Source organism: Homo sapiens, chromosome 9, assembly GCF_000001405.40.
Source record: "Homo sapiens chromosome 9, GRCh38.p14 Primary Assembly".
NCBI classification, from domain to species: domain Eukaryota; kingdom Metazoa; phylum Chordata; class Mammalia; order Primates; family Hominidae; genus Homo; species Homo sapiens.
In genome coordinates this window covers 69,709,124-69,722,764 of record NC_000009.12, presented here as the reverse complement: position 1 = coordinate 69,722,764, position 13,641 = coordinate 69,709,124, and the positions used below count along the sequence as shown (strand labels likewise).

The 13,641-nt window shown below is 35.5% G+C and overlaps 1 protein-coding gene across 15 annotated transcripts in view; it reads left to right on the top strand.

The window, feature by feature from the left end:
* PTAR1 (protein prenyltransferase alpha subunit repeat containing 1) overlaps window positions 1–13,240 on the top strand; it is a 50,487-nt gene extending 37,247 nt beyond the window's left edge. For 6 of the 15 annotated variants that reach the window (NR_159517.1, NM_001366935.1, XM_011518639.2 and 3 more), the window contains one exon: window positions 4,081–13,240. Coding sequence is in view for 12 of the 15 variants with exons in the window: in NM_001366935.1 (NP_001353864.1) it covers window positions 4,081–4,423 (343 nt within the window). In the remaining 3 variants the exon portion in view is untranslated. The remainder of the gene's footprint in view (window positions 1–4,080) is intronic. The other 9 variants (NR_159516.1, XM_047423355.1, XM_047423353.1 and 6 more) reach the window with 2 other exon arrangements.
* Window positions 13,241–13,641: the final 401 nt, after the last annotated feature.

Here is a 13,641-nt window from a genome sequence, read left to right as displayed (position 1 = left end):
ATTTCACCATGTTGGCCAGGCTGGTCTCGAACTCCTGACCTCAGGTGATCTGCCTGCCTTGGCCTCCCAAAGTGCTGGGATTACAGGTGTGAGCCACCATGCCTGGCCCTTTTTTTTTTTTCCCCCCTAGAAAAAGCTCAACACATTGATGCACAGTCAGGATTGAGATTTGATTAGACCCCAAGAATAAGGTATGCTTTATCATTTTTCCAACCCTGATGGTCTGCAAATTAACTTACCTGAAGTATAATCTCTTGACACTTTTTGTTTAAAGTGTAAGAGAATTTCTCTTTGAGAGAGGGGAAAGTCTGGTAGCAAAGAGTGAAAAAGGGTTAGCAACCTATCAACTTCAGTTGTGAGTACATTTGACAGTATGTTGGACTGAAGTCACATATGTGACCCCTTCCCAGCTTCATTTCTTTTGGATCTTCCTTTATTTGGAGGCATCTTCATCTTCATAAATACAGATTCTACTTTAGGCCATAGCATTGTATTTGTAAATGAAAGACTTGCCTGTGCTAGGCAGGAAGGAGGTAGGCATTGTTTAAAATTGCCTATTTCTAAAGTTATTGAGATTTTCTTTCTTTCTCCAGTCTAGTCTGTCTTGCAGGTTATTTGAGGAGACCTGGTCAGCTGCTTTTCCTTACTAAATATATTCAGAACATAAAAGATTATCTCCCCTCTTTGGCACCTTCATTAGTAGAGAACATTCTTTTTCTCTTAAAACCAAGACACTTATTTCATGTTTTCAAGAGGGAAGATAGACCTTTTAAGCTACTGGCATACCTCAGAGATATCACAGGTTCAGTTCCAGACCACTGCAATAAAGTGAATATAGCAATAAAGTGAGCCACACAATTTTTTTTTGTTTCCCAGTACATATAAAAGTTACTTTTACATTACACTATAGTCTAAGAAGTGTGCAACAGCATTATGTCTAAAAAAAAAATGTGCATATCTTAATTAAAATACTAGGTTGCTAAAAAATGCTAACGATCATCCGACCCTTCAGCAAGTTGCAATCTTTTGCTGGTGAAGGGTCTTGCCTCAGTGTTGGTGGCTGCTGATTGATCAGAGTGGTGGTTGCTGAAGGTTGGGGTGGCTGTGGCAATTTCCTAAAATAAGATTGCAATGAAGTTTGACTCTTCCTTTCATGAAAGATTTCTCTGTAGTGTGTGATGCTGTTTGACAGCATTTTGCCCACAGTAGAACTTATTTCGAAATTGGAGTCATTTTAAACCTTGCTGCTGCTTTATCAACTAAGTTTGTGTCATACTCTAAATCCTTTGTTGTCATTTCAACAATGTTCACAGCATCTTCACCAGAAGTAGATTCTATCTCAGGAAACCACTTTTTTTTGTTTTTTGGTTCATCCATAAAAAGCAACTCCTCATGCATCCAAGTTTTATCATGAGATTGTAAGCAATTCAGTCACATCTTCACGCCCCACTTCCAATTCTAGTTGTCTTGCAATTTCCACCACATTTGCCGTGACTTACTACACTGAAGTCTTGAACTCCTCAAAGTCATCCATGAGGGTTGGAATCACCTTCTCTCAAAGTTTTGTTCATGTTGATATTTTGACTTCCTCCCATGAATCACAAACGTTCTTAATGGCATCTAAAATGGTGAACCCTTTTCAGAAGGTTTTCAATTTACTTTGCCCAGATCCATTAGAGGAATCACTATCTGTGGCAGCTATAACCTTATGAAATGTATTTCTTAACAAGACTTGAAAGTTGAAGTTTCTGCTTGATCCATGGACTAGAGAATGAATGCTGTGTTAGCAGTCATGAAAGCAACATGAATCTTTTTGTACATCTCAATCAGAGCTCTCACATGACTAGGTGCATAGTCAATGCGCAGTAATATTTTGGAAGGAATCCTTTTTTTCTGAGCAGCAGGTCTCAACAGTGGGATCAAAATATTCAGTTAACCATTCTTTAAACGGATGTGCTGTCAACATACAGGCAGAGTAGACTTAGCATAATTCTTAAGGGCCCTAAGATTATTGGAATGGTAAATGAGCCTTGGCTTCAACTTAAAGTCACCAGCTATATTAGCCCCTACCAAAAGTCAGACTGTCCTTTGAAACTTTGAAGCTAGGCATGGATTTCTCTCTAGCTATGAAAGTCCTAGATGGCATCTTTCAATAGAAGGGTATTTCATCTACATTGCAAATCTCTTGTCAGTATAGCTGCCTTCATCAGTGATCTTAGCTAGGTCTTCTGGATACCTTGCTGCAGCTTCTACATCAGCATTTGCTACTTCACTTTGTAGTTTTGTTATAGAGATGGCTTCTTTCCTTAAACCTCATGATCCAATCTCTGCTAACTCCAAACTCTTTTTCTCCAACTTCCTCACCTCTCTCAGTCTTAGAATTAAAGAGCATTAGAGCCTTAGTCTGGATTAGGTTTTGGCTTAAGGGAATGTTGTGGCTGATCTGCTTTTCTATCCAGAGCACTAAAACGTTCTCCATATCAGCAGTAAGACTGTGTTTCGCTTATCATTTGTGTGTTCACTGGGTTACCACTTTTAATTTCCTTCAAAAACTTTCCTTTGCATTGACAACTTGGCTAACTGGCACAAGAGGCCTAGCTTTCAGCCTGTCTCACCTTTGGACATGCCTTCCTCACTTAGCTTAATCATTTCTAGCTTTTGATTTAAAGTGAGAGACCTGTGACTCTTCCTTTCACTTGAACACTTAGAGGTCATTGTAGGATTATTGCTTGGCCTAATTTCAATATTGTTGTATCTCAGGGAACAGGGAGGCCTGGGGTGAGGGAGAGAGATGGGGGAAGAGCTGGTTGGTGGAGCAATCAGAACACACACAACATTTATTGGTTCAGTTTATCATCTTATATGGGTGTGTTTGTGACACCCCAAAATAGTTATAGTAGTAACATCAAAGATCGCTGATCACAGATCACATAACAGATATAATAATCTTGAAAAAGTTTGAAATATTAGTAATGTTACCAAAATGTGACACAGACAAAAAGTGACCACATTTTGTTGGAAAAATTGTGCTGATAGACTTGCTTGACACAAGATTGCCAAACCTTCAGTTTATAAAAAATACAGTATCTGCAAAGCACATTAGAGCAAAGCATAATATAAACTAGGTATGCCTGTATTACATAGGCCGGTTTTCTACTGCTGACTCATTGTCATTAGGCAGCTTATCTAGCCTTTAAGTTTTACCCCCTGTAAAAGTGGAACATTATGTGCTCCCTGTCTGCTTCAGAATATGCAAGGAAAATGAATAGAATTCTCTTAAGGGCTTAGAGTTGCTAATGTGAATGATGAGATGTAACAACCTAGAAGTTATACAGTTCATTGTACATGGATGTGCCCCCACTGAATTGAAATTTTTGGAGATTAGACGCGGGAATCTTCATTTTTAACAAACAATTGTAGGTGGTTGTAAGGGCAGGAGAATTGCTCTCCTCGGAGGGAGAACAGGAACTGTATCTTTTACATGTTTTGCTCAGAGCCCAGCACATCCCCAATGCATGTGGATGTTTAAAACTGTAGTTGGTGATGGATTTAGGGTAAAGTTCAGTTGACTTTTAGGGAATAAGACCCACTACAACAGATATGTTATTTTTATTAAAGTACTTGATAGAGGCCACAGATTAAGCCTCTAAAGGAACTGTTCATTCCCCTTATTTCTGAATCACTTGTCTTCTAGGATATCAATGAGATTTGTCTTGGTTTTGTTTTATATTTATAACTTATAGCAGAAATAAGACTGTCACATATTTCTAGTTTTATATTACGGTTACCATAGAGTACCATCTCCAAGTCATTGTCATCTCAGTAAATGCTTATGAAAAACCTTAGGACTGTATTCTTTCTCACAAACAAACCTGTAAGCTGGAGTTATAAGGCTTTCTTTGTCCAAATATCCTGGAACATCATCTCTACTGTTTTTCCTCCTTCCTCTGTATAACTTGGTTATGAAATGGGCAGTGAATTGAATACTGTATGTTTTGAAATTGCAAACTTTTTTTTCTGGAAAAGCTTGACTTTGTAATGTGATTTTCTTTATTCTCTTCCTTCCCCTCTCTATCGCAGGCGGCATATTTTCTACCTTCAGCATCACTTAAATGGTAGGTTTCCTCACAGCATGACCCAGTTGTCACCTGCAGACAGCCCTGGGGGGACTTTGAGTGACTTGCACCTTATCCCAGCAGGCTCCCAGCTGTCTCAAGCAATGGAAGTAGATGGACTGAATGACTCTAGCAAGCAAGGCTATTCCCAGGAAACCAAACGCCTGAAGCGGACGCCAGTTCCAGACTCCCTAGGCCTAGAAATGGAGCACAGGTTCATTGATCAAGTATTGTCCACCTGTCGGAACGTGGAGCAAGCCAGGTTTGCCAGTGCATACAGGAAATGGCTGGTTACTTTGAGTCAATGAAAGAGGTGAATTAGTCCTACAAGGTTCCCCTTTTAGTGCAATATTGCTTTCTTTTATTATTTACATAGTTGCATGAACTGTTTACTATTATTGGCTAACCATATGTTCTTCGTCTTTAGGTTGAAAGTCCATAGTAAATCTTTCATTTTATTTATTTTGTTAATAACTGGCATTCCTGTGGGGATAAAATAATCGTATAGTTCCTTCCTGCTGAACAGCGAGTCTTAAATTTTCTGTTTAACTTCTCACCCTTTGTATTTCTATATGTGGGGCTTCTCATTTGGTTTTCCTGATTGGTTCACACACACACACCTCTACCCCCCTCAGTCCAATTGCTGCATAGGCAAATTCTTTTAAAAATTAAAAATTTAAGGCCTAGGCAGGAGGATTGCCTGAGCCCAGGACTTTGAGACCAACCTGGGCCACATAGCAAGACCCGATTTCTACAAAAAGTAAAACAAAATAGCTAGGCATGGTGCTATGCAACTGTGTTCCTAGCTATGCAGGAAGCTGAGGCAGAAGGATTGCTTGAGCCCCAGGTGTTTGTGGCTGTAGTGAGCCATGATTGCACCACTGTACTCAGCCTGGGCAATAGAGTTGAGACCCTGTCTCTAAAACAAATTGAAAATAAACATTTATGTTGCAGTTCAACTGAAGAATGTTGGTATGAATGCCGAATAACTTGATGTAATTGTTTTGAGAATCAAATGGCTAGATGGGCGAATGTTTAAAAATGTAAACTAGTTCTCTTTCTCTAGCATGTTCTACCCAATTACCAAAGTCAGAAGTATTGGAATTTATATGAAAAAAATGCTTCCAATGTAATCCATTTTTTAAATGGTTATTTAAGAAAAAACTAACTTAAGAGTTTATGTAATTGCAGTAAAGGAAAATTATTTTTATTGCTAGTTTTGATAGATTATTTTTACCTCAAATTTGGTATATGCCAAAACACATCAGTCCTTATAAAATTGATTTTTTTTTCCTGAAAACCTGGAATGCCATTTTTAGCTATTACTACTTTTTAATTTCAAATTCACTTATGACAAATGGGAGAAATATATAAAGAAATAGATCCATAAAAATATTCCTTTTTAAAAATCTAAATTATTGAGGATACACTATGGAAACTATAAAATTATCATGAAGTGACTGTTAAAGTTTACTGGCAAATGCCAAGGGAAGGAATAGTATGTGCAAAACAAAACACTTTGATACTGAACTTAATCAGGGATGAGGTACCAAAGTATCCACATTATAGCCGTATCTTATGTTTCCAATAACAAGGGCTGAGTTTTTCAGGTAGGTGGGATGAGGGTGGGGAATGGGCCATGTAATGTCTGCTTTCTTATATTTGCCCTTTTGTAAGTGGTCTGTTTCTTCTTTTCATATACTTTGTTTTGCCAATCCATTACGTATTTTTTGTCACTTTTGTGTGTCATTTTTGTATACCTTTCCTTTCTTACTTCAGGGGTGTGTCTTCAAGATTTCTACCCCCTATTTGCAATGAATTTCATACCTCATCTAAAATACATTCATATACCAGAAATATGAAGAGTGGCCCTTCTAAAAGTTTCCCTAATGATGGAAGCTGTCAGTTGTCCTATCTGTGCAGAATGTGAGTAATAGTGGCAGAAATAAGTGTGACAACAATGCTTTGCCTGTTGTTCTTTTTACTTGCTAGGTAATTTGTAAAGTGGGGATAAAGATGTAGGGAAAGTAAACCTCTCTCTCACTGTTACGGAAAGCCTGGACTTGAGTTAGGTAGACTGCCTTAAAGAAGAAGAAATATGTCCTTTTCTTTGGCATCATGGTTTTGTTGAGTGGCAGACTGTTGAAGTGAGTTGAGACTTAAGAACGCCAGAAAAGTTGTCTAGCCTGGCCCCAGTAGACAGAATTTGTTCTTCTCTCAAGTAAAAAATTACCTTTTTATAGCTTTTATATTATTTAGATGAAAAAATACCATTATGAACATAATTCCATGGCCCTTTGTGTACAAAGCATATTTTGAATTAAATACCTCAAGGTCCACCTAGACCTCTATGGATAAAATCATAAGTTTATGATTTTTAGCTCCTGTGAGTGTTTGGGGGCAAACTACACAGAGAAGACATGGGTGGTTCAGCCCATTCCACTAAAATATGTTGCCAGATTCTGGCCTAACTCAGTATTACCTTTTTTCCTAAAAATCATTTTTCACATTTTGAGTAATAGGGCTTATGCTTTGATGTGAAAAAATGTCAGGAAATGAGTGTAGACAATACCCTATAAAACACTAGCTAAGTTTTATAGTGCTCCATGCCTTTGTGTACCTTCCACTGATTATCTTGCCTATCTTTGGTGTGTAAACTATTTTCATATCTTCTAAGGCTCTTAACCCACTCTTTTCTGAAGCCGCACAGTCCTTTAATATGTCTTGTTTCCTTCCTAAAAGTTTAAAGTAGAGAGCAAAAATGCAAATACCCAAAGGATACTGTTAGTATGTAACTTTTGTGTGCTGCTTTATTTCTAGAGTTTGCATTTTTTAATTGTTCATTCACAGAAAATCCTAATATTGCCCTATATGGTTGGTTTTTTTCCTAAGTGGTTAATATTTAAACCCGCTAGCTGTAGCATGATAATGTCTTTGACTGAGCTTATGTAGTAGAAAGGATGTGTCTGTTTTCTGGGACTTTTAGTCTTCACTTATTTTTCTATAACAATCTAATTGTTAAAAGGAAAAGATGGCTTATTGACACATATTTCATTAAACTTTCACTGGAAGAACAGTGGGTCATCCTACTGTGGATTAAGAATACTACTGACAAGCAAAAAGCATTAAGCTCTGTAACTGTCTCCAACACCACCTTCACCCCGCCTTTAGTGTACCTTAGTGTACTTTAGTGTACCTATTTTGGCAGTACGGTGTTTTCCAGATTCTACTTGTGCCCTGCACATTGTGAGGACTCATTAAATATTTATTAAATTAATGAATGACTAACAGGAAGAGAAAGATTGTTTGTGAGTGTTAAGAATGAGTGATGATTGAGAAATTGATGGATTAGTGCAATGGATTGGGAATGAATGATGCTTTCTAGTTTCGTAATACTTGGGAAGAGCTATTGCATATAGAGTAAGTTGATTTAGACTTTTTTTTTCTTCATTTCATTACCTTGTTTAAACTTGTTAAATCCCAGCCAAGAAATGCAGCTCTGTAATTGTCAATTAACTGTATTATAATATATATTAAAAATTTGTAGAGCTAAAGAACCCACTTGCATTAAGAACACCACTTTCTGTTCATTTGTGATACTAGAGGACAGATCCTGCATACAGAGCCGAAACTGCTTTTAATCATCTGAAGAAATTCTTTGATTTCAGTGACTTACTGATCTGTACCTGTGCACATATCATTTTATGCTTCTCCTTTTTTCCCCGCAACTTGAACTGTGACTCTTTCAGATATTTCTTAAATCTGTATGAGTCATTTTTTAAGCTTAGGGATTTGATATGTATTAATGTCCCCTTTGTCTTCTGTAGATTTTAGCATTTTATTACCTCTTAAGAAACTCTGGGCCCAGACTTTCAGTCATATTTCTTATTCCTATGGTACAGTTCTCACTTAAAGGCTTAATTATTAGTAGGGTTAAATATATACAGGTTATCTCTAAAAGTACTTAAATTTTTAAATAAGGGCTTATGTGATACAAGATACGGAAACAAAAGTTTTTGGATTTTTATGCAGTAGTTTGCAGGAAAGCAAATACATAGTAGATCGTATGCCACTTAGGTATGTTCAGGTCATGCCAGTTTATTCTTGTTGGGCCACACACACATGTATGTGTGTGTAAAAGGAATTTTTAGTATTGAAGCAAACAAATTGTCAGTTTAATAATTTTCTCTTACATAGCACAAGATGGCAGATACCACCTACTGTACAACAATCTAATAATCCCTACCTTAGTTCCCCTGAGTTATAGAAGATGCTAAAGATTTAGTTGTAAAGGGAAGTAACATGATTTTTTTTTTCTAAAAAGCTGTTTTAAGCTAACTATTATTTTGCTACTGGAAAATTATATTTTAAAACTTACAGATATTTAAAGTATGCTAGAAAATTTGAACCTGATAACAACTGAACCTTTTGTCTTGAATAAATTTCTCAAATAGAACTGTGCAAACCCTAGCACTTTATGTGTTGCTGCCTCCCCATACCTAGGTATGCTCTGTAATAAGCTCCCATTTAATGGAGAGATGTGTGGAGGCACTGAGAAGTTAATGAAGAAAAATCAACCCTAAGAATTCCTTATTGTCACATAGTGTCTTTTAAAAAATAACTGTAGAGACTGTGTTAATTCGAGTGCCTTTCTTACTTTTTTGGGAGCAAGATTATATTTAATGTTTAAGAAAACAGGATGGAAGTTTTATCAAACAGTTGATTGTGGCCCATTGTTTTATTTATTCCCATCGCTAGGCATGGCCCCGTAGGGTATTTTATCCTTCAGTGAGAGACTGATATAAGCAGGCAGGATGCTTTGATTATTCCATTAGTTATCATTTTAAGCACCCTACCAAGATTTAGTTCTTTCTTTCTGGCAACTAACGTTTTGGGGGTTGGAGGCATCCCATTTAGAGGATGGTGTGTGCACAAATAGATTAGCCTGAAACCTGCGTCCAAAGGGAAACAGTGGCACTCTGCCCTAAAATAAAGGCCAGAACGTTGTCCTAAATGAATCCTTTGCCTTACTTTAGGACCTTCCTTCCCTCTCAAATTCAGGCATAATGTAATATAGTTGAAAGGGGGAAAACAGTACTTGCTTTCTCTCAGGTATTGGAGGAAAAGAAGTAAATGCGTAGATGAAATTTTAAATGTATCATTTTATCTGTTTGTATATGGAGAAGGGAGGGATAGGAATTCCATATTTCAAGATAGCAAATATAATTTCATAGAAATATATAGCTAAAGATTCCAAAGTGCTTTTACAGAGAACTGTTGAATAATATATTCCTAAAGGGCAGCAATATGCCATGTTCATGGTGAAGACAGAAAACCAATGAATCAGTTGTGGATCTCAGGTGGGAGAGGAAACCTCAGGCTCCCAACTTTGACTTCTCTACTCTCACCAGGCCATGTTAACACTGTAAAACCAAACTCTTTGCTAAGAACAATACAGGGCAGTAGTTTAGTCTGCTGATGAAACCTTGTGCTTCCAAGAATATTAGCTATATATAATTTGTGCTTTCTGGATGATTCTATTGTCCAGAAAGCTAACCCTGACGTTACTTTTATTAGTCTGTTGTTATTCCTCAGGGTGTAGAAGATTTAGTAAATTCAGGACAAATTTTATATTCAGTGGCAAAAAGAAAAGGCAAAAATATGCTAAATATATTATTAGCTCTTAAATTTTAGTATAGATCGTATTTTTTATAAACTATTACCAGTACAGTAGCTAGTAGATATTCTGTGACTGCCTCATTGTTTATCTTGCTGCTTTGGTCCCTATGGCTCTAGTATGAACATTCTCGTGTCTTCTGTGGAAATGATTTCTGTGTTATAGTTCCATCTTTGGTAGAGGTGGGGATGATTGTATTTTGTTTTAGTTGACATCATTCTCAACTTTTAGAAATACTGTTGAGGAAAATGATTACCGTTGGTTTTCAAATTGACAACTATTTTGCTTCCAAAGACTTCAGTTTCCCTTTGTTTTATGTGTAGACCTCATATATGTTCAACACATTGCATACTGCCTTGCACATTGTAGGAATTCAACAAGTCAAGAGTTGATAAAAGCTAGAAAGATAAAACTAGCTTAGCTATCATATCATCATTGTCCATATTCTTAGCTTTGGGAAAAATATACCATTTTGCATAAAATACATAATCAGTTTCAAATGCATAAGGCAAAGATATACAGTTGCACAACATTGCAAGTGAAATTTACAAAGGATTTTTATTTTTGTGTATGCTAAAAGTGCTCCTACTTAAAGCAGTTTTCTTTATTAGACCAACACCTTCCAGCAAAGTTAGAAACCAAACACAAGTGCTCATTTGCCCAAATTAACCAGATAGTTATGTAAACTGTTCATATTAAGTCTTTAGTGGTTTACAAACAATAACATTCTGGCTTTTCTTCCATACCTTTTAGGAATCAGCCTTAATTTTAAGTATAGCAGTCACTTTCCTCAAGGTACTATGCAGCATACTTTAGATTGCTTATTTATCATTATAAGGTGATAGGTAATAAATTTGAGGTTTACTTGTCATATAATTTCATATGGCAGATATTGATTCAAGGAGCATTCTATTAGAAAAAGTTGATAAATTATCCTCCCTTACAAATATCATCTTGCATTTGGAGCAGGTATTTTTTTCTTATTAGTTAAAGACTGGGTACAGTTATAGTAGATGCTCAATAAATGCTTAGTCAGTGATTGATCTAACATCAAACTAACAGCTTTCAGAAAGGAGACTGTTGACATCTTTTCACCAAGGAGTATATTTGTAGAGTAATATATGTGTGGAATTTTGAAATTATATCATTTGACATGATTTATGAGGCTTATTTAAGCTGGAGTTAGTAACGTAATAGAAGTATTATTTATACAGAACATAGTTGAAAGATAGGAGATGTGAAAGATTAAGTAGTATTTTCTTGTGCAAGGCATATTAATAAATGTAATTAAATGTCTTAATAAGCAGCTGGCTGAACTCTAGAGAGAACTGCTGTAGTCTTCTGCAATCAGTCTCTGTATTGGTATATCCAGTACTATCGGGTTTAGGTTCTTTTTATTTTTCCTTAAATCTTACTTGTTTCTAGCGTCTTAAGAGTGGTAATGGTAAAATGTGAAGTTACAATAAACTTCTGCTTGTTTTCTCAGAACATCTTTGGCATGAGGAAGAACTTTTTGTGAATGATACAGTAGTCTCAGCATCTGTTAATTTGTGGTTTTCAAAGCATTTTTGACAGAGTTTACCTAATGTAAAAAGATTAAACAGTTTTATAAAACACAAATAAACATTCCTACCTGAACTGTGAGGAACAGAGTGTATAGTACAAATGTAATTAGGCATTGCCTCCTGGCGAGGTTCTTGATGCATGACTTCGATGCTGGCTGCTGACTGAGGTGACCACTGTCAGTATTGTACTTTGGCATATGTTGTTTTTAGGAAAATAATGGAATGCATTCTTAGATTAACTTACTGTTTTTGAGTTGGAAAAAATAAAAGATGAGGTATTATAAGTATGCCAAATATTTATACACTACAAAAGATTAAAAAAGGAGAGGGAGAAAAAAAAAGGCCAGTTATGATTTTAATAGCGTCTAATTTTTTTTTGACTCGAATTTTGTGGACACTAGTCAATTGCATAATTTAACATGGAGGAGCTTTCATTTAAAAGAAGTTCTCAGCTACTATATTCTGCCATTAAAATTAACCATGCCTGTTAATTTTACATTGCTTGAAGATATAAGTAAGCTGCCGTCAATATTGTTTTAAGATTTTCTTATAGTTTATGTTTAAATGGAAAAGTTACATATATAATCTATGGTGCAGGGTCAGGCATTGGCCATTAAAGATAAGTTTGGCTAACTATTTTACTGAAGAGACTAATGGTCTTCCCTCTGTTGTACTGCTATGTTTCTTGATCTGTTTTTCCCCAATGTAACAGTCTACATTGAAGTCCTTTAGCTCTCTCCATATACTAATTGACATTTGTTAAGGATTCAATATTTTGTGAATTCTTTTTACCCTTAAAATGCATATCTTTCAGAGAGATAAGAATGAATTTTGCAATAATTTATATGCAGAGTGTGCTTATGGGTTTCTGGGAGTTCAAGTTAGTACCCCAGAGTGCTTAAAAGTATGATGCTAAATTCTAAGGCTAATGTAATGACTGTAGATTATCTATGTCCACATTGTTCAACAGAAATATAATGTGAACCACAACATAATTTTTAATTTTCTAGTAGCCATATTAAAAAAGAAACAAGCAAAATTAATTTTAATAACAGTTTATGTAACCCAGTATATTAAAAATATCATTTCAACATGTAATCAATATAAAAGATTATTAATGAAACACCTTATCTTCTTTTTCTTCCATACTAAGTCTTAGATTTGAGTGTATTTTGCACTCACAGCACATCTCAATTCTGACTGGCCACATTTTAAGTGCTCAGTAGTCACATATGGCTAAGGGCTACTATACTGGACAGTACAGATTCATAGAGTATAAAATATGACTTTAACTTTGGAGATGGTGAGGTAGGCCTGTAATTATGGTACTTTAAAAATTCAGAATATTTAGAAAAGCATCTAATAGAATTATCCACTTGTTTTCCTTCATCTTCATTTTAATATGTTCTAGAAGTAGGATCAGCCTGTTCCAATTTGCCAAGCATTATTAAGGAGGAATAATTCCATACCATGTAAAATACCATGATATGCTGATTATACTACATTAACAAATTTTTAAGTTGCGTTCACTAAATTCTGTCCTGTTTCTTCAAAATAATATAGCTTAAATTGCATGTTAATTGTATATCTTACCTATTTTGTTTTTATATTATTCTTACAATATAATCATGTATATTAACAAACAGCCCTGGGATTCTAATCTTCCTCTGCAACTGTCTTCCAGGACTTACTGGCACTTATTACACTGTGATAAGTGGCAGAAAAGTAGAATGAAATATTCTTTTTCCATTAGATTTGTTCTTATGTGACCATGTACCAAGCCAGCTATAAAGTATTGTATTTCTGTAGAATATGGAAAATAGTATTTGTCTTACCTTTGCTAAATGTTTGCAATTTCTAAGTAAACCTTTTATCTCCTAAAATGAGTGTTAAGTGTGATTTTGTTTTTACTTTTGGTGCTTTAAACTTGAGTCTAGTCTACCAAGCTTTCCATTTTATTTGCTTTGATGGTGGTAGGGGGGTGGAGGTGTGAACTGTTGTCTAAATGAAACCAATAATTTTATGACCTACATTTGTAGAAAGAATAAAAATGCCACTATGTCTAGAACATAAAAGAAATGTCAAAAACAAATTAGAGATATCGCCACAGTTGTTTTTAAATTGTATTAACAGTGACTAATTGCCTTATAAAAGTTATTATGACTAGATACGCTTTTTCCCATCCATTTCAAATGAAGCTGTAGAGCACATATAATTACTCGGTTATTTTAGTGTTACATCCTATGTTTTCTCAATCCTGAGTCTCACTTCTGTATGTTATAAG